The 25,666-nt window shown below is 40.6% G+C and overlaps 1 protein-coding gene and 1 long non-coding RNA gene across 5 annotated transcripts, besides 1 other annotated feature; one reads left to right on the top strand and one right to left on the bottom strand.

Annotated features, from left to right (window-relative positions):
• Positions 1-772: 772 nt before the first annotated feature.
• Positions 773-20,390, top strand: CLEC5A (C-type lectin domain containing 5A). 4 transcript variants are annotated; one of them, XR_007059995.1, is made up of 8 exons: positions 773-940; positions 1,435-1,533; positions 2,347-2,406; positions 3,783-3,851; positions 11,797-11,933; positions 15,921-16,027; positions 17,529-17,697; positions 18,515-20,390. XR_007059995.1 is itself a non-coding variant. In NM_013252.3 (7 exons), exons 2-7 carry the CDS (start codon positions 1,455-1,457, stop codon positions 17,641-17,643), a joined length of 567 nt encoding a protein of 188 aa, NP_037384.1. In that variant the 5' UTR covers positions 773-940; positions 1,435-1,454; the 3' UTR covers positions 17,644-20,390. The 4 variants fall into 4 exon arrangements, 3 of the variants coding, with proteins under 3 accessions (NP_037384.1, NP_001288096.1, XP_011514297.1); NM_013252.3 differs by having other exon boundaries at positions 17,529-20,390; NM_001301167.2 differs by lacking the exon at positions 3,783-3,851 and having other exon boundaries at positions 17,529-20,390.
• Positions 1,092-2,291: an enhancer, noted in NCBI's record as "CDK7 strongly-dependent group 2 enhancer chr7:141645256-141646455 (GRCh37/hg19 assembly coordinates)". NCBI's record gives its function as "activates an origin of replication core promoter dependent on BRD2, BRD4, P300/CBP, MED14 and CDK7 cofactors, with strong dependence on CDK7, by STARR-seq in HCT116 cells {active_cell/tissue: HCT116}" and the evidence as "EXISTENCE:reporter gene assay evidence [ECO:0000049][PMID:35650434]".
• LOC124901761 (uncharacterized) lies at positions 15,898-17,815 on the bottom strand. The gene is made up of 2 exons (XR_007060564.1): positions 17,727-17,815; positions 15,898-16,172 (listed from the first exon to the last, which is right to left on the bottom strand). It is a non-coding gene; the product is annotated as an uncharacterized LOC124901761 (long non-coding RNA).
• Positions 20,391-25,666: the final 5,276 nt, after the last annotated feature.

Below are 25,666 nucleotides of genomic sequence, written 5' to 3'. Positions count from 1 at the left end.
ATCTATCTATCCATCTATCTTTCTATCTACCTACTCATCTCGAAAGGATACACCCTGAGGTGCTAGCAATGACTATAACTAAATGTACAAGGTTATAAATGGTTTTGTTTTCTCAATTTTCCTTGTTAATATTTTCCAGCCATTTTTTTGTCATGAGCACAGTAGTTTTCATAGTAGGGAAAATAAAAGCAAATTTTCAAATTTAACACGAAATTAAAAACTCCTTGACAATAGGACTTGAGTATTGTTCACCCCAGCCCACTGCTGTATCCAGCAGAGTGCCATGTTCAAGAAACACTGAAGAGCCACCATGAGGTCTGGAAGGTGAGCAGGTGGTGCCAGAGAGGAGTCCATGATAAAGGGGAATGAGCAGAGCTCCAGCAAATGGAGCAAATGGAACAGCAAGAACCTGCTCATTCATATTAGTGTCTTCAACTGGATTTCTTAACATTTTTAACTTGACATAATTTCAGACTTGCAGAAATGTTGTAAGGAAAGTACAAATAACTTCCAGCTACCTTTTATCCAGATTCAATGTTTGTTAAAATTTTACTACATTTCTCTTCCCACTGTATTTCAAGGAGATTTAGACACAGAGGAAGGGTGAATCTGTGTTGAGGTATTTTGTTTTCCAAATTGTCCTTAAAATGTTCCTCTGCATTAGAACTCTCCTGGCAGGAAGTCTGCTCTTGCCACCACTAGGGCTAGAGAGTCTCTTCCCTTCTTTGCCCCGCCTGCTCCCTTTGCCAAGAACCCCACTGAACAGGAAGAGGTATTTCTTGGGGATGCTACCAAGGCAGAGACTGTGAAGAAGGAAGAACGTTGCTTGGGCAAAAGGAGCATATTCTCAGGAGACGGGGCCCCTGCCTGCCACACCAAGCATTAGGCCACCAGGAAGACCCCCATCTGCAAGCAAGCCTAGCCTTCCAGGGAGAAAGAGGTGAGTCTGTCTGTCTGTCTTGGCTGCATGGACTGTTGACCAATGCCAAGACCTTCAGGGATGCCTGTCCTGTCTGTCACCTACCCCTGGTATTTGGAAGACTGAGGCTTCTGACAACTTAAGTCAGTATGGTGAAGGCTACAGACTAAGGTCCTTGGGAACAAGGGTCATTTCAAGGATAAGGGTTCTCAAAATACAGGAGAGGGTTTAATTATTAGACAGAATTTAGGAGGCCACAAATAGGGCAAGGCTGAGGCCTGGAGTAGGGAATGAGTGAAGGAGAGGCAGTATGCCAAGTTCCAAGGCTCCAATCAATACATGATTCTTTCTGTGTTCGCGGCCCACGCTGGGTCACCTCCTGGTACCTGTCAATGTCATGCCTGTCTTCCAAGCCTGCCTTGCTTTGGGTACTCTGAGCGAGAGGCTGGGATATGTCCTAGTGAAAAGCAGCCTTGTACCCGAATTCTGATGCTGCTGTGCTCTAATCTTCACAGGCCCCTGCAGCTCCTTCATCATGAACTGGCACATGATCATCTCTGGGCTTATTGTGGTAGTGCTTAAAGTTGTTGGAATGACCTTATTTCTACTTTATTGTGAGTATTTGAGCAACCTCTTGCCCCAGACTTCATGTTGTCTTGCTCATTGACTCTTCTCTCAGAATGCATGGTTGTGTGTAAAGGTTACATATCCAAGTCTTTCCACCTGAGACTAACTGACCCAACCTGAGGTCAATTGGCAATGCCTTTCTCACTCCCCAGCACACACAGTGGCCCAGGCTCCTTGGTCTACCTTGGAGATATAGAACTTACCAGTTTCTGATGGTTAGAACGCCACGCAAAGCTTTTGCTAGTAGAGTATTATTTGGGTGATCTCAGCTGAAGTACTTGGCAGCGCTTGTTATTGTTGGCAAAATCTAAAATACAGCTCCAGTTCAACCCAATGACAAGGCCATGGTAAGAGCTGAAGTATAATGTAACAGGATTTAACTGAGAAAGAAATTTCTCTTTGTATACATATAAATTAATTCATCCAAATGCCTAGTTAAAGAAGCCTCCTATGAAAGGATTTTACTGCAATCAGAAACTAGAATCTTCTCTAGCCCCAGAAGCCAGTAGGGAAAATAAATGAGGAAGGAAACGTGAGTGGGAGGCAGTAGTTAGCTAAGAGGTGTCTTCCTCATGATGCAATCTGAAGGTGCAATTCCTATCATGTCAGACAGCAGGACAGAAATATGAATAAGGGAACGTATTCACAAAACCACATTTATGCATCTTCACTGAGTCAGAGAGTTCAGTATTTCCCACTAATAGTCACAGTACCCTAGCAGCCCCTGTGCTGATACTTGTTTGTCATATTCATCATGCAGTCACATTTGGGGCTGAGCCAACAGCTGATTTTCTTTTCAGTCCCACAGATTTTTAACAAAAGTAACGATGGTTTCACCACCACCAGGAGCTATGGAACAGGTAATCTGCATGGTGGTAAATCTTCTCCCCATCCTCCTGCTACTTCTATGCTGAATTCCTAGAGACCTTCCACACAGCCTCCTTTCCCAAGAAATTCTTTTGTACAAAGGGTCCATAAAGATCTTCTAATTAATTCCCTTTCTTTTACATATGAGAAAACCAAGAGCAGACTGAGGGAAATTTCTGATCCTTAGTTTTTCTCCTGGATATGGGGATGATTTATATCTAATCATTGTAATAGAATGTGAAAGTGCTTAATAGCCAGTAGCTATGGGAGATAGAGAGATGAGTGGGGCATGGTTCTCCTCTCCCGATTAAACCAGCTTCCTTCTGAAGCCTTTCCCAACAACATCCTCTCACTTCCTCTTAAGACACCTATTACTACTGACATCGTTAGGAGAAAGACCGTTTCTCATTTATCTTAGTATCAACAGAGGCAACCCAATACAGTGAGCTGTATGGAGAAAATACTCATAAAATATGTATTGAGTCCTTAAGTTATAATCTCAAAGTAGTTTCTGATGAAAACCAGGCTATTACATCTTAGAGTCTATAAACGGGGTACTGAAATAAAAAGTGAATGCCAATTTGTTTCATTAAGATAAATGTAAGTAACTAATTTGATGTCAGAGTAAAGTGGTCTTCAACCACAATGGACAAATAACTGGCAGCCCAATTAGATGTTTGACCAGCCTCTGAAGCCACTGCGGCTGCCTGCTCAGACAGCCAGTGTTCCCAGGGAAATGAGGCCCCTATATGGATTTCTAGAAATGAATGGACCCTTCCCTGCTTATAGAAAATCTCCCTAAAGTTCACCTGCTTCCTTGTCTGATAATATCCCCTTGGCCCTGAAATTTTGTTCCAATTAGCTTCAATCCTTAGAGCTAATACAGTGCTGATGAGAAAAGAGTCCCAGAGTTGCCCAGGATTATGAATTTTCATACTGAATCTGGGACACCAGAAGTAGAAAGAACAGCAAAGATGCTGTGTGGAGCCTGGGCGAGAAGTACTCCAAACAGTCCTTTGGAGAAAACACTGTCAAAGGTTTATATACGATAGGAGTGTGAGAGTTTCTCTCTGATACTAAATTCCTCCATTACTTTTCCTTTCTTCTGTTCTTTTTCTCAGGATTTGATGCCTATGGCTACATCAAAAAAAGGAGACATGAAATAGGATTTGGGTGTCAAGTTGACAAATAATGATAGTAGTTAGATGGAAGGCTCAAAGAAAGAAATTATTTGAAATGTTCTAGCTCAGAGTGGCCAAGAGCTTCTTGTCATCTCCATGATTCAGAGTCACACAGCCCATACTCTGATGTTTCTGTTTCTGTGTTGTATTCATCATACCATAACCTTTAGGTTTACTTTTCACTTTAGTCTCACAGATTTTTGGGAGCAGTTCCCCAAGTCCCAACGGCTTCATTACCACAAGGAGCTATGGAACAGGTAAAGTGCATGATTACAACCTACTCCCCATCCCCTAGGTTCTCATGCACTGAATTCTTAGAGATTTCTCCCATTGTCTTTATTCTTATGGAATTTTTTTGCTCAAAGGGACCATAACGACCTTCCAGTTCATTCTCTTTGTACATATTATTTTGGCTTTTATTTTTTAATTTTCTCAGTACATAGTAGGTATATATATTCATGAGTTACATGATATATATTGATAAAGGCATGCAATATGTAATAATTATATCAGGGTAAATGGAGTATCCATCACCTCAAGCATTTATCTTTTGTATTACAAACAATCCAATTATACTGTTAGTTATGTTTAAATCTGCAATTAAATTATGTTTGACTATAGTCACCCTGTTGTGCCAGCAAATACTAGATCTTATTTATTCTTTCTATTTTTTAGTACCCATTAACAAGCCCCACTTCTCCCCCATACCTCCCCACCAACTACCCTTTCCAGCCCCTGGTAACCATCCTTCTATGCTCTATCTCCATGAGTTCAATTGTTTCAAATTTTAGCTCCTGCAAGTAAGTGAAAACATGTGAAGTTTGTCTTTCTCTGCCTGGCTTATTTCATGTAACATAATGACCTCCAGTTCCATTCATGTTGTTGCAAATGACAGGATCTGATTTTTTTATGGTTGAACAGTACTCCATTGTGTATATGTACCACACTTCTTTATCCATTCATCTGTTGATGGACACTTAGGTTGTTTCCAAATCTTGGCTATTGTGAATAGTGTTGCGATAAAAACGGGAGTGCAGATGTCTCTTCAATATACTGATTTCCTTTCTTTTGGGCCTATACTTAAGAGTGTAATTGCTGGGCCATGTGGTAGTTCTATTTACAGTTTTTTGAGGAACTTCCAAACTCTTCTCCATAGCTGTACTAGTTTACATTCCCACCAACAATGTATGAGGGTTCTCTTTTCTCCAAATCCTTTCCAGCATTGGTATTGCCTGCCTTTTGGATAAAAGCCATTTTAACTGGGTTGAGATGATATCTCACGGTAGTTTTGATTTGAAATTCTATAATGAGGAATGGTGTTGAGCACCTTTTTATATTTCTATTTGCCATTTGTACAACTTCTTTGGAGAAATGTCTATTCAGATCTTTTGCCCATTTTTAACTAGATTATTAGATTTTTTTTCCTATACAGTTGTTTGGGCTCCTTATATATTCTGGTTATTAATACCTTGTCAAATGGGTGGTTTTCAAACATTTTTTTCCATTCTGTGGATTGTCTCTTCACTTTGTTGATTGTTTCCTTTGCTGGGCAGAAGCTTTTTTAAGTTGATATGATCTCATTTATCTATTTTTCCTTTGGTTGCCTGTGCTTGTGGGATATTACTCAAGAAATCTTTGCTCACTTCAATGTCCTACAGAGTTTCCCCGAAGTTTTCTTGTATTTTCATAGCTTGAGATTTTAGATTTCAGTCTTTAATCCATTTTGATTTGGTTTTTGTATATGTCAAGAGATAAGGGTCTCCTTTCATTCTTATGCATATGAATATCCAGTGTCCCAGAACCATTTATTGAAGACACTGTCCCTTCCTCAATGCATGTTTGTGGTACCATTGTCAACAATGAGTTCACTATAGACGTAGGGAATTATTTATGGGTTCTCTCTTCTGTTCTGGTCTATATGTCTGTTGTTATGACAGTACCATGGCATTTTGGTAACTAAAGCTCTGTAGTATAATTTGAAATCAGGTAATGTGATTCCTCCAGTTTTGTTATTTTTTTGCTTAGGATAGCTTTGGACAGTCTGGGTCTTCTGTGGTTCCATGTACATTTTACGATAATTTTTTCTGTTTCTGTGAATAATGTCATTGGGTTATTGACAAAGATTGCATTAAATCTGTAGATTGCTTTGAGTAGAGTGGACATTTTAACAATATTGATTCTTCCAATCCACAAACATGGAATATTTTTCTATTTTTTGGTGTCCTTGTCAATTTCTTTTGTCCATGTTTTATAGTTTTCATTGTATAGATCTTTCACTTCTTTGGCTAAATTAATTCCTAGATATTTTATTTTATTTGTAGCTATTATAAATGGGATTAGTCTCTTAATTTCTTTTCAGAGTGTTCACTGTTGGCATATAGAAATGCTACTAATTTTTGTCTGTTGATTTTGTATCCTGGAGCTTTACTGAATTTGTTTATCAGTTCTAATAGCTTTTTGGTGGAATCTTTAGGTTTTTACAAATATAAGGTCATATCATCTGAAAACAAGGATAAATTGACTTCATCCTTTCCAATTTGGATGCCCTTTATTTCTTTCTCTTGTCTGACTGCTCTAGCTAAGCCTCCCAGCACTATGTTGAAAAACAGTGATGAAAGCGAGTGCGGCCTTGCCATATTCCAGATCTTACAGGAAAGGCTTTCATTTTTTCCCCATTCAATATATGCTGGCTGTAGGTCTGTCATATATGGCTTTTATTTTGTTGAGGGATGTTCCTTCAATACCCTGTTTTTTGAGAGTTTTAATCATGAAGGGATGTTGACTTTTATCAAATAATTTATCAGCATCAATTGAAATGATCGTATGGTTTTTGTTCTTCATTCTGTTGATATAATGTATTACATTGATTAAGTTGCATATGTTGAACCATCCTTGCATTCCTGGGATAAATCTCACTTGGTCGTGATGAATGATCTTTTTAATATGTTGTTGAATTCAGCTTGCTAGTATTTTGTTGAGGTGTTTTGCATCAATATTGATTGGTATATTTGCGTGTAGTTTCATTTTTTGATGTGTCTTAGTCTGGTTTTGGTATCAGGGTAATGTAGGCTTCATAGAATAAATTTCGAAGTATTCCCTCTTTCTCTATTTTTCAGAACAGTTTGAGTAGGATTGGTATTAGTTCTTCTTTAAATACTTGGCAGAATTCAGCAGTGAAATCATTGGATCCTGGGCTTTTCTTTATTGGGAGAGTTTTTATCATGGTTTTCATCTCATTACTTGTTATTGATCTGTTCAGGTTTTGGATTTCTTTGTGGTTTAATCTTGGTAGGTTGTATGTGCCTAGGAATTTGCCCATTTCTTCTAGATTTTCCAATTTATTGGCATATAGTTGCTCATAGCAGTCACTAATGATTCTTTGAATTTCTGTGCCATCCATTGTAATGTCTCCTATTTCATCTCTGATTTTATTAATTTGGGTCATCTCTTTCTCTTTTTTTTTTTTGGTCTGGCTAAAGGTTTATTGATTTTGTTTATCTTTTCAAAAAGCCGACTTTTGTTGCATTGATGTTTTGTATTGTTTTCTTCATTTCAATTTATTTCTGCTTTGATCTTTATTATTTCTTTTGTTCTACTAATTTTGGGTTTAATTTGTGCTTGCTTTTTTAGTTCTTTAAGATTTGTCATCAGGTTTTTGGTTTGAAGTTTTTATTTTTTCTTGGTTTTTTTTGATGCAGGCACTTATAGGTATAAACTTCCGTCTTAATATCCTACAGGTTTCAGTATGTTGTGTTTTCATTATCATTTGTTAAAAGAAGTTTTTCAATTCCTTTCTTAATTTCTTTATTGACTGATTGGTCATCCAGGAGCATATTGTTTAATTTCCACGTATTTGTGCAGTTTCCAAACTTCCTCTTGTTACTGACTTCTATTTAATTCCATTGTGGTCAGAGAAGATGTTTAATATTATTTCAATTTTTTGAATGTTTTAAGGCTTGTTTTGTTACCTAAAATATGGTCTATCCTTGAGAATGATCCATATGCTGAAGAAAAGAATGTGTATTCTGTAGCTGATGAATAGAATGTTCTATAAATATCTATTATGTTCATTTGGTCTATAGTATAGATTAAGTCCAATGTTACTTTGTTGATTTTCCAACTGAAAGATCGGTCCAATGCTGAAAGCAGAGTGTTAAACTCTCCAGCTATTATTATATTGGAGACTATCTATTTCTTTAGCTCTAATAATATTTTCCTTACATATCTGGGTGTGCCAGTATTGGATGCATATATATTTATATTGTTATATTCTCTTGCTGAATTGACCCCTTTATCATTATACAGTGACCTCCTTTGTGTCTTCTTACAGTTTTTGTCTCAAGATCTATTTTGTCTGAAATAAGTATAGCTACTGTTGCTCCTTTTCGGTTTCCATTGGGATGGAATGTCTCTTTTTATCCCTTCATTTTTAGTCTGCATGTGTCTTTATAGGTGGAGTGTGTTTCTTGTGGGAAATAGATCATTAGGTCTTGTTTTTTCATCCATTCAGCCACTCTATGTACTTTGATTGGAAAGTTTAATCCATTTACATTCAATATTATTATTAATAAGTAAGCACTTACTTCTGCCATTTTGTTATTTGTTTTCTGGTTGTTTTTTGATCTTCTCTTCCTTCTTTCTTTCCTTCCTGTCTTCCTTTTAGTGAAGGTGATTTTCTCTGGTGGTATGATTTAATTTCCTGCTTTTTGTTTTTCATATATCTACTGTATATTTTTTGATTCAAGGTTACTATGAGGCTTGCAAATACTATCTTATAGCCCATTATTGTAAGCTGATAACAACTTAACTCTGCTTGCATTAACAAACAAGTAAGCAAAAAAAGAAAACTAATAAAAACTCTACATTTTAACTTTGTCTCCCACTTTTTAACTTTTTATTGTTTCTATTTATAACTTTGTTTTTACTGTCTATGTCTTGAAAAGTTGTTGTAGTTATCATTTTTATTGGTTCATCTTTTAGTCTTTCTACTTAAGATAAGAGTACTTTACATACCACAGTTGCACTGTTGTGATATTGTGTTTTTCCATGTACCTACTATAATCAGTGAATTTTGTATATTCAGATGATTTCTTATTGCTCATTAATGTCCTTTACTTTCAGATTAAAGAGCTGTTTTTAGCAATTCTTATAGGACTGATGTGCTGTTGATTAAATCCCTCAGCTTTTATTTGTCTGGGAAAGTCTTTATTTCCCCTTCATGTTTGAAGGATATTTTCATCAGATACGCTATTCTAAGGTAAAGGGTTTTTTGCTTCAGCAACTTAAATATGCCATGCCACTCTCTCCTGGCCTATAAGATTTCCACTTGGGGAACATCCCAAGCCCAGTAACGCTGTGGGTCTGCTACCAGACATATTGGAGCTCCACTGTATATTATTTGCTTCTTTTCTCTTGCTGCTTTTAGGATCCTTTCATTATCCTTGAACTTTGGGGGTTTGATTATTAAGTGCCTTAAGGTAGTCTTCTTTGGCTTAAATCTACTTGGTGTTCTATAACCTTCTTGTACTTGGATATTGATATCTTTCCCTAGGTTTGGGAAGTTCTCTGTTATTATCCCTTGGAATAAACTTTCTACCCCTATCTATTTCTCTACTTCCTCTTTAAGGCCAGTAACTCTTACATTTGCCCTTTTGAGGCTATTTTTTAGACCTTACAAGTGTGCTTCATTGTTTCTTATTCTTTTTTCTTTTGTATCCTCTGACTTCTGTGACCCCTCTGATTCTGTTATTAATATACTCTGATGCATTCCTCAGTATGTGAATTTCATTTTTTAACTCCAGAATTTCTGCTTGATCCTTCTTAATTATTTCTATCTCTTAGTTTATCTGATAGAATTCTGAATTTCTTTTCTGTGTTATCTTGAATTTCTTTGAGTTTCCTCAACACAGGTATTTTGGATTCTCTGTCTAAAAGGTCACATATTTCTGTTTCTCCAGGATTGGTCCCTGGTGCCTTATTTACCTCAACTGGTGAGGTCATGTTTTCCTGAATGGTCTTGATACTTGTGGATGTTCATCAGTGTCTGGGCATAGAAGATTTAGGTATTTATTGTAGTCTTCATGGTCTGGGTTTATACCCATCCTTCTTGGGAAGGCTTTCCAGGTATTCAAAAGGACTTGGGTGCTGTGACCTAAGCTCTATCTGCATGGGGGACATCCCAAGCCCAGTAATGCTGTGGGTCTTGCAGACTCGTAGAGGTACCCACCTGGTTGGTCTTGGATAAGATCTGAAAGATTTATCTGGATTACCAGACAGAGACTCTTATTCTTTTTCCTTACTTTCTCCCAAACAGAATCTCTTTCTCTATGCTGACCTTCCCAGACCTGGGAGTGGGGTGACACAAGCATCCCTGTGACCACCACCACTGGGACTGCATTGGGTCAGACCTGAAGCCAGCATAGCACTGAGTCTCACTCAAGGCCCACTGTAACCACTACATGGCTACTGCTTATGTTTTGTCAATGTCCTGGGGCTCTATAATCAGCATATGGTGAAGCCAGCCAAGCCTGTGACCTCCCCTTCAGGGCAGTGAGTTCCACCAGGCCCTAAATAGGTCTGGAGATGCTATCTTAGAACCAGGGACTGGAGTCAAAAACCTTATAAATCTACCTGGTGTTCTGTCCTCCTGTGGCTGAGCTGAAACTCGATTCATGAGACATAGTTCTTTCCACTCTTCCCTCCCCTTTCTGCAGGCAGAGGAGCTTCACCCTATGACCACTACCATCACAGGCCCACAGGGTCACTGCCAGACTACCACTGATTTTTGTTTAAGGCACAGGGGCTGTTTGGTCAGCTTGTCACGAATGCTGCCAGGCCTAGAACCTACCCTTTATGTCTGTGGGCTCCTATCTGGCTCAGGGCAGGTCCAGAAATGCTATCCAAGAGTCAAGGCCTAGAATCTTGGACCCCAAGAGCTGACCTTTACTTCTCTGTGGCCAGTCTGTTACATAAGGTGCAAGACAAAGCCCCCTTTACTTTTCTCTCTTCTTTTCTCAAGCAGAAGAATGTGCTGGGTTTCATCTGAAGCCCAAGACATCTCAGTCTCACCCAAGGCCCATAACATACTACCTAGGTATTGCTGCTTGTTATTCAGGGCCCAAGAATTCTTTCATCAGCAGGTAAGGGATCCTGTCAGGACTGTGTACTTATCTTCAAGACAGAGGATTCACTTTTGGCCCAGGGTATGTCTAGGTGTCTCTACAAATGTCTTTCAGGAACTAGGGTTTGGAATGGGGACCTCACGACTCTGACTAGTGCCCTATTCTACTGTGGCTTGCATCCAAGATGCAAGACAAAGTACTCTTTACTCTTCCCTCTCCTCTCCTCAAGCAGAAAGAAAGGGTCTCTTTTGGAGCTGCAAGTTGTGCTGCTTGGGGTTGGGAGAGCAATGGCACAAGCATTCCCTTGGCCACCCTGGCTGGTATCTCAGTAGGTGCCCCCTAATTCCACTGGCTCAAAGCCCAGCTCAGCACAAGGACTTGCCTAGGAGTTGCAGTCCTTGTGGCCTAGACTACCCTTCAAGTTTATTTAGGGCCCCAAAGCAATTCAGCTCACAGTGGCGAGGCTTGCCAGAACTCAGGTTTCAACCACTGGGATGGGTTATTCCCCTCCGGCTAGCGCTCATCTAAATGCTTCCTCCATGGGTGGGTATCAGCTGAGTTTGGTCCGTTTTGCCCTCCACTGTGACAGGGCAGCACTGAGTCCAATGTAAAGTCTCACAATCCCTGCACACTCCCTCTCCCATGCACATACACTTTACCATGCCATGCTGTCACTGCAGCAGGGATAGGGTGGGGGTGGTGTCAGCAATTCAAGACTATCTTTCCTACCCTCTGCAGTGCCTCTTTCAGCTATCCAGGTACTGAGTGTTCATCTGATTTTTTGTTCTCATGTATGTATATGTGCTTTTTTGTGTGTAGATAGTTGTCAAATTTGGTGTTCCTGTAGGGGGATGACTAATGGAAACTTTATTCAGCCACTGCGCTCTTCTCCTTATTCTCCTTATATTATTGTCAAGGAACCAGACTAGACTGGGTGGAATTTCTTCCTGGATGGAGAATAATTTTTACCAATATAATTGTTAAAACAAAGCAAAAATATGTATCACTGTTTCATGACTTAGTTGCAGGATTCATAACCCAAACCAGTAAACTCGTACTCTCCTTTCTTGGACCTCTTCAGTCTGCCCCAAAGACTGGGAATTTTATCAAGCAAGATGTTTTTTCTTATCCACTTCTGAATCATCTTGGAATGAAAGCAGGGACTTTTGCAAAGGAAAAGGATCCACATTGGCAATTGTCAACACGCCAGAGAAACTGGTGAGAACACTGGAATGGTACAGTAAAGCCACACACTCCACACAGCCTCAGTGGGTGGGATGGGGTAGAAACTTGGGGGAGTGGGGATGGGATGGAGTGAGGAATGGAGAGGTGGCTGGCTGAAAAACTGAAGCTATTTGTTCTGGACTGGAGGTTAGGAGATTCTTCTTAGTAGCAGTGAAGCAGCATGATTTTCCAGTTTCATTTAACCACAGAAATTCGCACCTTGTGGTCTTTTCTATAGCGCACTGTAATTAGCTGATATCCTGGGGATGGGCCAAGACATTTAAAGTGAAGCAAATGACCAAATGAGATGATGTGTATAAAAGTTGTTTAACAACAAAAAGAATACCTTATAGATGTGATGTCAATGTACCATCCCAGTCTGCATAGTAAACAAGGAAGACGTGAACTGACAAAATTAGTAGTGTGAAAAAGTAAGAATCAGGTCATACTGAATTTGCAGTTGATGATCATGATAATAATAATGAGGATGTATTATTATCCACATTTTATAAATGGCAACTAGGGCACAGAAAAGTAATTTGCCCAAGGTCAAATAACAGAACGTGGAATTGAATTCAGAACTCTCTGACTCCAAAACCCATACTCTAATCTGTGCTACATACACTATACTCTTGCTTCTCTCGCTTCTATCCCTTTATTCCTCCTCTAGAAAGTCCTCCTGTGATTTAGAAGAATTTGTAAGAACTTCTCCTTTCTGAATCTTGGTAATAGATGACCAAGGGATCTGGATGCTACAAACCCTCTAGGGCTAAGTACCCAGGTAGCAAGGGAAAATGTCTTAAGATAGAAAAACAGGAGCAAGACAGGGGAATGAAAAGAGGAAAGGAGGGAAGGCAACGGGAAGAAGCAAGTGTGACAAGTCTGCCACACCCATTAAGTTTTGTGGATCCCAATTTGCTTGACCAAAACACATCCATGTACCTTTTCCTTGGTGATGAAAAAGGTCATCACTACTAACCTGGCCAACATGGTGAAACCATGTCTCTACTAACAATTAGCCAGGTGAGGTGGTGCATGCCTGAAATCCCAGCTACTTAAGTGGCTGAGGCACAAGAATTGCTTGAATCCAGGAGGCGGAGGCTGCAGTGAGCCATGACTGTGCCACTACACTCCAGCCTGGGCAACAGAGCAAGGCTCTGTCTCAAAAAAAAAAAAAAAAAAAAAAAAAAAAAACGTTAAAGAAAAAGACAAAGGTCATCATGGCAATGGTTTGCTGCTGACTCGCAAGTCTGTATCTCCAGCTCATCCTTCTCCTCCCAACAAGTATACCAAATTCCACTTCGATGTTTCAAGAGGCCCACAAACTCACTATGTTCAAAACTGAGTCAATTATATTTGACCCCCCCACTCTTCCTGTTGCATTCCAAATACTGGTGAGTACTCATGTCACCCAAGATTGAAGGCTTAAGAGTTTTCTGGGACTTTACCTTCTCTTTTCTTCCTCAATTATTTGTTAAACAAGTCCTTTTCTCTCTATGCCAACAACAAATAGTTCAGTTCTCACCTGGATTTCTTCAGAATTCTTCTAATCCATCTCCTTGCCTCCAGTTTTGCACTCTTTCTAGCTATCCTCCTCAGAACTGACATTATAATACCTCTAAGGCTCTAAACTGTACCATTTTCCAAATTAAAGTGGGTTAAACGCCAGTTCTCCTAGCATGGCATATGTCAGGTTCATGACCATGCCAAATGTCACACTCAGGGTCAGGTTCCAGCCCATGCTAAGGTCCTAGGGGAGTGGGTGGGTGGCAGATAGCTGAAAGAACACTCAGGGGGCCATACACAGGTGAAATGTAGTTTTATTCAGCAGCTCTTTCATCAGCAGCTTTCTCATACTCTCTGTCTGTCTGTCTCAGCTGCTTGCTCCAGCCGCTCCCATTCACAGCTGCGCAGCCGGCTCTCCCTTAGCGTTCAGGGTCAGCAGCTTAACTCTTTCTCCCTCTGGGCATGAATGCATGCTGAGCCATGTCCTGGCTGCCCTCTATCAGTCTGCAAGATGGACAGCCTTGGTTCTCTCTCTCTTTCTCTGGGCACCAGAGCCTGTACCATGTCAAGGCACGTTGAGCCAAGCCAAGTTGCGTGCACAGCATCGGCAGGTCAATTATACCTTTTTCAAACAATAGTGGCTCTGAGCTAAGCATGAGCTTACACAAATAGGTTATATAACAAGTATATATATATATATATATATATATATATATATATATATATGCCTGCTCCCTAAACTCGCTGAGTCACTTTGGCCTGGATGTCCACCTCAGCCTATTCCTTGACCAAAGCACATCCATGTACCTTACATCATATCAGGCCTTGCACAGTGCCGCCTCTGCCTTTGCTCCAGCCTTGTCTCTCAAACCACCTCCCTGCCACCTCTGCACTAACTACGCTGAGCATCTCGTAGTTCCTCAAGAGCTCCAGGCTGCTTCCCCACCTGCCTATAATCCATGCTCTCTTCCAGGAAGTCCATACTCTCCCTGACAGTTTGTCTGACAAACTTAGCTATCTCCTAAAATTCATCTCAGGTATCACCTCATCTATCATTCTAGAAAAACTTCAGATCTATGTAGAATGATCGCTTCCTCCTTTCTGCCTCTTCCAGATCCAGTATATAATTTCCTAGTACTACACCTGAGATACCTCCTTATGCTAGTTAAGTTGGTTGTCTTCCCTCATTAAACCTGTGGTTCTTCAAACATGATGGGACCACTGACTTTTTTAAAATGGTGATAAAATCTATGTACCCCTTCCCAGAAACATTACATAAGCAAAATATTTTTCATAACATTCCAGTGGTTTCATAGTTTTCCTGGGAAACCATCCATGGCTTCCAGCATGAGAGTTCAGCATTAAGGATTCTGGTTTTAGACCATGGGTCAGAAAACTTTTTTAAAAAAGGGTCAGATAACATACATTTTAAGCTTTTCAGGGCATTGGTCTCTGCTGTTGTAACTTGAAAGCAGCCGTAGATAATGTGTAAACAATGGGCATGGGTGCATTCCAATAAAACATTTACCAAAACAGGATGAAGTCTGGATTTGGCCCACTGGTTGTAGTTTGCCAACCCTCTTGATCATAATTTCTTTGAGGAGAAATATATTTGTTTCCACATCCTCAGCCTAACACAATGCATGGCATATAATAGACACTCGAGAGATGTTTGGTGAATGAGAACATTCAGTAATTAATTAAAAAGTAATGAAATAAGATATTTCAGAAAAGGAGAACATTGAAAAGTGAGAAACTAAGGAAATAGCCATGGGGATGGAAAGAATAAGACTTGGATACCCACTGATTATGGGACGTATGTGACAAGTATAGGAAACACTTCTGGCTGAAATGATTTGTAACTCACCAATTAATTACAGAACAAAGATGTCTAGGACTAGTGTCAAATCAGCAAATATTTGACAAGCACTTGCTTATTTCTTCTTGGATTACACTTTTAAAAGCAATACACTTTTAAATCTCACCGTTTTCCTTTCCTAAGTACTCAATATATAGAAACACATTTTATTAGCACTTGGTTCAGCCTCACTTAGCATACAAAATTTCTGGCAACAAAAACAATCCTATGGATAGAAGCATGACATATTTTTTTAAATGACCCTGTTTTAGATTGTACAGTACCCCTTCCCCTTCATTCTCACAGTGTGGTCCCTGGACAGAAACATCAGTATCACCTGGGCATTTTGTAGAAAAGTAAATTATTGGTTCCCTTCACTAGACCTACTTAACCAGGAGCCCAGCAGTCTGTGTTTTAACAAGACCTCAGGTTTTCCAAATTCCCTCTGAATCTTGACAATGACTTCTTTAGGGTTAGTTGTGAGTCCCAGCTATAGCTGGTCCCAGAGTTCTCTACCGGCCTTCCTTATTCCCAGGATCAGATATAATCATGGGCACATTGGCTCAAGAGAGGCATCATTAAAAGACTCACTGGTAAAATTTTTTTTTTATTTCCAGAAGTTTCTTCAGGACATAACTGATGCTGAGAAGTATTTTATTGGCTTAATTTACCATCGTGAAGAGAAAAGGTGGCGTTGGATCAACAACTCTGTGTTCAATGGCAAGTACGTGAACATGCCACAGTTTCCTGGGGATCTTGGTTTGCTTCAAAAGACCAAACCTGAGATTGCTGGGTTCACCCTGGAATAGCTCAAACGCTGACACTTGACTCTGTTCTGCTCTTCTCCTTTCTTCCAACCCATCTATTCCCTGAGACACATTTTAATAAATGTTTTCTTATGAAAGAGATCAAACTTTCATAAGGAGAAAGAAGAGTATTCATATAGCAAATTATTTTATTCATATCAAGATCCAAACAAATCCACCTACATAGCATTCATTTGATGTATCTTGTAGCTCTCTATAGATGCTAGTTTCCATAGCACTGAGCATTTCTGACTGATCAAAAAAGCTCAGTCTCTTGACTTCAAACAGACTAGATATGAGTCTAGACTGGATGCTAGCCATCTCTAGGAGACAGGGTCAGTTTTATGGAGGCAACCCAGTTGGTATAGAGATGAGATCTATTTCTATAACACTAGTGTTTCTGACTGATCAAAAGGGCTTCGTCTTTTAACCCACAGATCACATTTTATTACAAAGTACATACAAGTTTCCCCAGATATGCCTTCTTTATCTAAGAAAGGTTATTATAAGCAACTTGTCTATGTCTTAAAGCTATGAACTTCTGACCCCCAAGAGCTGTCTCCTGTGAATTGTTCCATGGAGATGAGGATTGGTGAGAACATCAATAATCTTCCCAGTGTTTATACAAAAATAGTGATTCAGACAGAGGTCAAGTCAGTCCCCCAGCCTGTAACTGGGCTTCCCTACAGAGAGGAGGAAATTGACATTTATTCAGTGTCTGCTAATGCCAGCACTATGCTAAACACTTTGCATATGTTGTTTCCTGAAATATTCCCCATGATGCTACATGAAAAGCTTTTATCGCTCCCCATTTCACAGACAGTTGAACTGAGGACAAGTAAAGCTTAGAAATGTGTTAAATATCATAAAGCTAGTCCCAAACACATGACATTTCTCCGAAACCAGAGCCTTTTCAGTCAGACTGAAACAGACTGAATGACAGAAAAAGAGGTGGGAGAGCCAACAAATACCTCCACCAAGTTTTTCTGAGGCCACTATGGTCTGGAAAGGGATGCACAACCTCTCTCCTTTTCCTTCCTGTCCTCTTGCTGTGAACATGCATGCTATCCTAAACAGTACTTTTGGAAGAAGAGACAGCCCATGAGATGCTTCTAACCAAATGCCAGAGTGAGTTAGTTAGTCCAAGACTGTGAATCCATACACGCTCACAGGAGAGCTGACAGGAAAGGGTGGGTTTAGAGCTGCATTTGCGGAGCTGGATTAGGAAAAGGATCTGAGCTAAAAAGGAGGCTACGCAGATGGAGACGTGTGTGGGCCCGGTAGTCTGCTGCCCTTCCAGGCAAAACTCCTGCAAGACTCTCACTCTGGAATCAGGAAGAGGCTGGGCTAAAATGATGGGCCATCACCATGCTTTGTTTTTTGTTTGTTTGTTTTGTTTTGTTTTGTTTTCTCATTTAGTGTTACCAATCAGAATCAGAATTTCAACTGTGCGACCATTGGCCTAACAAAGACATTTGATGCTGCATCATGTGACATCAGCTACCGCAGGATCTGTGAGAAGAATGCCAAATGATCACAGTTCCCTGTGACAAGAACTATACTTGCAACTCTTTTTGAATCCATACAGGTCGTCTGGCCAATGATTCTTTTACTTACCTATCTGTCTACCAGTAGCGGTCCTTGCCCATTTGGGAAACTGAGCTTCTTTCTTCTGCACTGGGGGACTGGATGCTAGCCATCTCCAGGAGACAGGATCAGTTTTACGGAAACAACTCAGTTAGTATAGAGATGAGGTCCGCTTCTGTAGTACTGAGCATTTCTGACTGATCAAAAAGGCCTAGTCTGTTGACAGGGTTTGTTTTATTTTAGCCTCAGAGTATACCATACTACTAGGGAGTAACTGTAGAGTGAGAAATTATAAACATTATTTAGGGATTACCATGGTGGAAGAGGGATAAACATAGGTCCTGTGACTTCGTCTCTGTTCTCAAGGGAACCCCATTCACATGCCCCTCCTAACTCCACAAGCGAGGGTAGCAGAGGCTCTCCTCAGTCTGAACTAAGGCTTGGCCTTGGGGAGGGCTCCTAGTGCTGAGCTTGGAGCAGCACGGACAGCAGCATTGTTTATGGGAATGGAGAGAGGTCTGGGCAGGATAGGAACCTTCTTGGAGACCCCTTTGAAGAAAACCAGGCAGCCAAGGGAGCCAAACACACTAGATTTCTGTTCTTCAGCAAAGCCCTGAAGAGACACTTAAGCTAAAAATTCCCTTGTCATATTTCTGAAACTCCATTATAACATATGTAACTCCTTTGTAACCAAAATTTAGGTAAGCAGGCTTCCTTTGCTCTGAAGGTTTTGAGTACCTGGCTGTATTTGTTGAGTATTTTTAAAATTTTGGATAGTCTCTTAGGCAACAATAATCACAATATATTCATCCCTTCAGTTCTGGAGAAAGCCTGATACCAGGCACAGCCTACTGACCCCAAGGAGCCTGGCACTGATTGGCATCACATTGATCTAGAACTGGTCCAGCCGACGAAGAGTAGGAAAAGAGAAGGGCTGCTCAGGGAAACATTGGCTGGGGGCACGGAATAAGCACATAGTAAAAAGGGAACATCAGGGTCAAATGGAAATCACCTGAGACAGGAAACAGGGAGTTCATTTGGCCACACTGGAAGAAAGGCAAGAAAGAGGAAGACAAGTCTTGGAGTACCCTGGCTGTTCTCCACACTCACAAGACATCAGCTATATACTCTGCTTGGTGCATAAGAAAGAGAAAAGAGATGCCTTTTGTGTTTTGAGTAAGAATAATTAAACCATAAGGAAGACCATGTATAAAACTGATGGAAATAATAGTCACCAAAGTACAGCACATACCATTTTGTGTCTAATAACAATGTAGCACAGTAATGACTGTACATGTCATTGTATGTATACCAAACAAGATTGTTGTAAATCATATTTTTTATTACAACACTAAGTTCTGCTTCTGCATTCCTAGGTTTCATCATTTTTGGCTCCTTAGCATGGCCACTTACAATTTTTTAACATGAGATAACACATCAGGTGTCAGAACTTGCTTGAAGGGAATTACCAGAAGTAATTTGTGTTTGAGATGGGGTGGAAATTGGAATTATATTAGTAGCCGGTGGAGATACAAGTTCTCTGACTGTGTTGGGAAAGGATAAGTGCTACCGTTGAGAAGGGAAGAAAGGCTGAGTCTAGGTGGAGAAAAATATCAACAGAACTCTAGCCAAAGGCAAGCCCCAGAACTCAGACAACAGAAAGGAAATCCTAATCCTTCTGTTTTGAGAAGAGAGAACTGTAGTTGCTTCACTTCCTATTTCATGACAGAATAACTGCAAACTTTTAAGATCAGGAAATGTAGACATCTAGTGATTTCTTTAGTAGACAGTTTAATTTCCCCCAAGATTAGGAGACACTTCTGTGCAGGTTCTAAAAGGAGCCCAATGGCCTGGGGTGGGAGTGGGGAGTAGATAGGGAATATGTGGGATTTGGTTTAAGTTCATCATTGGAAGAGTTCCTGGATCCTTGCAAGCTTAGATAAATGTGATCTTTATTAGATAGCAGTGGCATGCTTTAAAAAAAAAAAAGGCAATGAAAATTTAGCAAGCCACTGAATTTGAGTTTTCACTTTGTTTCTAATATGCTGTGTGAATCAGTACAGTTTTCTTACCCTTTCTTGGTCTTAATTTCCTTACTGATAAAATGGGGTAGTAATACCTATCTCAAAAAATTATTGCACATATTAAATAACATTCCTCTATGTATCTCAATGGCATTAGACATTAGGAGAAGCATTTTGTGGAGGATTTGAAGTTGAGATCTTCATCCAAGAAGTAGCTTTTCAATTTGCTAGAAGCTTAATGTAGGCAAGCCACTTCATTTTTCAGAACTTGTTTACTCATTTATAATATGGGAATAAAAATTTGTGCAAGTCAGAGAAGGGTGCCTTAAAAATGTTGTGGCCAAGCCACATGAGATCAAAGACACACTTTTCATGACCTCAAATGTGGGCCCAGCCTAGGTCAGCCAACCCCCATCCAACCCTTAGACTCACGAACAAATCCACCTGAGATCAGCAGAGCCACCCTAGATCAGCTGAAACTCTAAGCACAAAAATAAAAACTTATCACTGTATACCACTGGAGTTTTCTGGTTATCTCTCGTATAGCAAAATCTAACTGATGCAATCTCCATCTGGCCTTCATCCTTCTCCCTTTATTGTCCTTTCGTGTATTGTTCATCCAGCAACCAGGATGATCTTGTTAAAACATTAAACAGATTCTGTCACTCTTCTTCAGCCCCCTGTGATGGTTTTCCAATGTGCTTCTGGAAAGAGCAAACATCCTTAAAAGGCTCAGTGTGGCGATTCCTCAAGGATCTAGAACTAGAAATACCATTTGACCCAGTGATCCCATTACTGGGTATATACCCAAAGGATTATAAATCACGCTACTATAAAGACACATGCACACGTATGTTTATTGTGGCACTATTCACAATAGCAAAGACTTGGAACCAACCCAAATGTCCATCAGTGATAGACTGGATTAAGAAAATGTGGCACATATACACCATGGAATACTATGCAGCCACAAAAAAGGATGAGAGTTCATGTCCTTTGTAGGGACATGGATGAAGCTGGAAACCATCATTCTGAGCAAGCTATCGCAAAGACAGAAAACCAAACACCACATATTCTCACTCATAGGTGGGAATTGAATAATGAGAGCACTTGGACACCAGGCAGGGAACATCACACACCAGGGCCTGTCGTGGGGTGTGAGGAGAGGGGAGGGACAGCATTAGGAGAAATACCTAATATAAATGATAAGTTAGTGGGTGCAGCACACCAACATGGCACATGTATACATATGTAACAAACCTGCACATTGTGCACATGTACCCTAGGACTTAAAGTATAATTTTAAAAAAAAGAGAGGGAGGAGCCAAGATGGCCGAATAGGAACAGCTCCGGTCTACAACTCCCAGCGTGAGCGACGCAGAAGACGGTGATTTCTGCATTTCCATCTGAGGTACCGGGTTCATCTCACTAGGGAGTGCCAGACAGTGGGCGCAGGCCAGTGTGTGTGCGCACCGTGCGCGAGCCGAAGCAGGGCGAGGCATTGCCTCACCTGGGAAGCGCAAGGGGTCAGGGAGTTCCCTTTCCGAGTCAAAGAAAGGGGTGACGGACGCACCTGGAAAATCGGGTCACTCCCACCCGAATATTGCGCTTTTCAGACCGGCTTAAGAAACGGCGCACCACGAGACTATATCCCACACCTGGCTCGGAGGGTCCTACGCCCACGGAATCTCACTGATTGCTAGCACAGCAGTCTGAGATCAAACTGCAAGGCGGCAACGAGGCTGGGGGAGGGGCGCCCGCCATTGCCCAGGCTTGCTTAGGTAAACAAAGCAGCCGGGAAGCTCGAACTGGGTGGAGCCCACCACAGCTCAAGGAGGCCTGCCTGCCTCTGTAGGCTCCACCTCTGGGGGCAGGGCACAGACAAACAAAAAGACAGCAGTAACCTCTGCAGACTTAAGTGTCCCTGTCTGACAGCTTTGAAGAGAGCAGTGGTTCTCCCAGCACGCAGCTGGAGATCTGAGAACGGGCAGACTGCCTCCTCAAGTGGGTCCCTGACTCCTGACCCCCGAGCAGCCTAACTGGGAGGCACCCCCCAGCAGGGGCACACTGACACCTCACACGGCAGGGTATTCCAACAGACCTGCAGCTGAGGGTCCTGTCTGTTAGAAGGAAAACTAACAACCAGAAAGGACATCTACACCGAAAACCCATCTGTACATCACCATCATCAAAGACCAAAAGTAGATAAAACCACAAAGATGGGGAAAAAACAGAACAGAAAAACTGGAAACTCTAAAACGCAGAGCGCCTCTCCTCCTCCAAAGGAACGCAGTTCCTCACCAGCAACAGAACAAAGCTGGATGGAGAATGATTTTGACGAGCTGAGAGAAGAAGGCTTCAGACGATCAAATTACTCTGAGCTACGGGAGGACATTCAAACCAAAGGCAAAGAAGTTGAAAACTTTGAAAAAAATTTAGAAGAATGTATAACTAGAATAACCAATACAGAGAAGTGCTTAAAGGAGCTGATGGAGCTGAAAACCAAGGCTCGAGAACTACGTGAAGAATGCAGAAGCCTCAGGAGCCGATGCGATCAACTGGAAGAAAGGGTATCAGCAATGGAAGATGAAATGAATGAAATGAAGCGAGAAGGGAAGTTTAGAGAAAAAAGAATAAAAAGAAATGAGCAAAGCCTCCAAGAAATATGGGACTATGTGAAAAGACCAAATCTACGTCTGATTGGTGTACCTGAAAGTGATGTGGAGAATGGAACCAAGTTGGAAAACACTCTGCAGGATATTATCCAGGAGAACTTCCCCAATCTAGCAAGGCAGGCCAACGTTCAGATTCAGGAAATACAGAGAACGCCACAAAGATACTCCTCGAGAAGAGCAACTCCAAGACACATAATTGTCAGATTCACCAAAGTTGAAATGAAGGAAAAAATGTTAAGGGCAGCCAGAGAGAAAGGTCGGGTTACCCTCAAAGGAAAGCCCATCAGAATAACAGCGGATCTCTCGGCAGAAACCCTACAAGCCAGAAGAGAGTGGGGGCCAATATTCAACATTCTTAAAGAAAAGAATTTTCAACCCAGAATTTCATATCCAGCCAAACTAACCTTCATAAGTGAAGGAGAAATAAAATACTTTATAGACAAGCAAATGTTGAGAGATTTTGTCACCACCAGGCCTGCCCTAAAAGAGCTCCTGAAGGAAGCGCTAAACATGGAAAGGAACAACCGGTACCAGCCGCTGCAAAATCATGCCAAAATGTAAAGACCATCGAGACTAGGAAGAAACTGCATCAACTAATGAGCAAAATCACCAGCTAACATCATAATGACAGGATCAAATTCACACATAACAATATTAACTTTAAATATAAATGGACTAAATTCTGCAATTAAAAGACACAGACTGGCAAGTTGGATAAAGAGTCAAGACCCATCAGTGTGCTGTATTCAGGAAACCCATCTCACGTGCAGAGACACACATAGGCTCAAAATAAAAGGATGGAGGAAGATCTACCAAGCAAATGGAAAACAAAAAAAGGCAGGGGTTGCAATCCTAGTCTCTGATAAAACAGACTTTAAACCAACAAAGATCAAAAGAGACAAAGAAGGCCATTACATAATGGTAAAGGGATCAATTCAACAAGAGGAGCTAACTATCCTAAATATTTATGCACCCAATACAGGAGCACCCAGATTCATAAAGCAAGTCCTCAATGACCTACAAAGAGACTTAGACTCCCACACATTAATAATGGGAGACTTTAACACCCCACTGTCAACATTAGACAGATCAACGAGACAGAAAGTCAACAAGGATACCCAGGAATTGAACTCAGCTCTGCACCAAGCAGACCTAATAGACATCTACAGAACTCTCCACCCCAAATCAACAGAATATACATTTTTTTCAGCACCACACCACACCTATTCCAAAATTGACCACATAGTTGGAAGTAAAGCTCTCCTCAGCAAATGTAAAAGAACAGAAATTATAACAAACTATCTCTCAGACCACAGTGCAATCAAACTAGAACTCAGGATTAAGAATCTCACTCAAAGCCGCTCAACTACATGGAAACTGAACAACCTGCTCCTGAATGACTACTGGGTACATAACGAAATGAAGGCAGAAATAAAGATGTTCTTTGAAACCAACGAGAACAAAGACACCACATACCAGAATCTCTGGGACGCATTCAAAGCAGTGTGTAGAGGGAAATTTATAGCACTAAATGCCTACAAGAGAAAGCAGGAAAGATCCAAAATTGACACCCTAACATCACAATTAAAAGAACTAGAAAAGCAAGAGCAAACACATTCAAAAGCTAGCAGAAGGCAAGAAATAACTAAAATCAGAGCAGAACTGAAGGAAATAGAGACACAAAAAACCCTTCAAAAAATCAATGAATCCAGGAGCTGGTTTTTTGAAAGGATCAACAAAATTGATAGACCGCTAGCAAGACTAATAAAGAAAAAAAGAGAGAAGAATCAAATAGACACAATAAAAAATGATAAAGGGGATATCACCACCGATCCCACAGAAATACAAACTACCATCAGAGAATACTACAAACGCCTCTACGCAAATAAACTAGAAAATCTAGAAGAAATGGATACATTCCTCGACACATACACTCTCCCAAGACTAAACCAGGAAGAAGTTGAATCTCTGAATCGACCAATAACAGGCTCTGAAATTGTGGCAATAATCAATAGTTTACCAACCAAAAAGAGTCCAGGACCAGATGGATTCACAGCCGAATTCTACCAGAGGTACAAGGAGGAACTGGTACCATTCCTTCTGAAACTATTCCAATCAATAGAAAAAGAGGGAATCCTCCCTAACTCATTTTATGAGGCCAGCATCATTCTGATACCAAAGCCGGGCAGAGACACAACCAAAAAAGAGAATTTTAGACCAATATCCTTGATGAACATTGATGCAAAAATCCTCAATAAAATACTGGCAAACCGAATCCAGCAGCACATCAAAAAGCTTATCCACCATGATCAAGTGGGCTTCATCCCTGGGATGCAAGGCTGGTTCAATATACGCAAATCAATAAATGTAATCCAGCATATAAACAGAGCCAAAGACAAAAACCACATGATTATCTCAATAGATGCAGAAAAAGCCTTTGACAAAATTCAACAACTCTTCATGCTAAAAACTCTCAATAAATTAGGTATTGATGGGACGTATTTCAAAATAATAAGAGCTATCTATGACAAACCCACAGCCAATATCATACTGAATGGGCAAAAACTGGAAGCATTCCCTTTGAAAACCGGCACAAGACAGGGATGCCCTCTCTCACCGCTCCTATTCAACATAGTGTTGGAAGTTCTGGCCAGGGCAATCAGGCAGGAGAAGGAAATAAAGGGTATTCAATTAGGAAAAGAGGAAGTCAAATTGTCCCTGTTTGCAGATGACATGATTGTTTATCTAGAAAACCCCATCGTCTCAGCCCAAAATCTCCTTAAGCTGATAAGCAACTTCAGCAAAGTCTCAGGATACAAAATCAATGTACAAAAATCACAAGCATTCTTATACACCAACAACAGACAAACAGAGAGCCAAATCATGGGTGAACTCCCATTCACAATTGCTTCAAAGAGAATAAAATACCTAGGAATCCAACTTACAAGGGATGTGAAGGACCTCTTCAAGGAGAACTACAAACCACTGCTCAAGGAAATAAAAGAGGAGACAAACAAATGGAAGAACATTCCATGCTCATGGGTAGGAAGAATCAATATCGTGAAAATGGCCATACTGCCCAAGGTAATTTACAGATTCAATGCCATCCCCATCAAGCTACCAATGACTTTCTTCACAGAATTGGAAAAAACTACTTTAAAGTTCATATGGAACCAAAAAAGAGCCCGCATTGCCAAGTCAATCCTAAGCCAAAAGAACAAAGCTGGAGGCATCACACTACCTGACTTCAAACTATACTACAAGGCTACAG

Source organism: Homo sapiens, chromosome 7 (genome assembly GCF_000001405.40).
Source record: "Homo sapiens chromosome 7, GRCh38.p14 Primary Assembly".
NCBI classification, from domain to species: Eukaryota; Metazoa; Chordata; class Mammalia; order Primates; family Hominidae; genus Homo; species Homo sapiens.
Note: the sequence above shows the minus strand (reverse complement) of the source record. Positions and strands in the feature narration are given on the sequence as shown.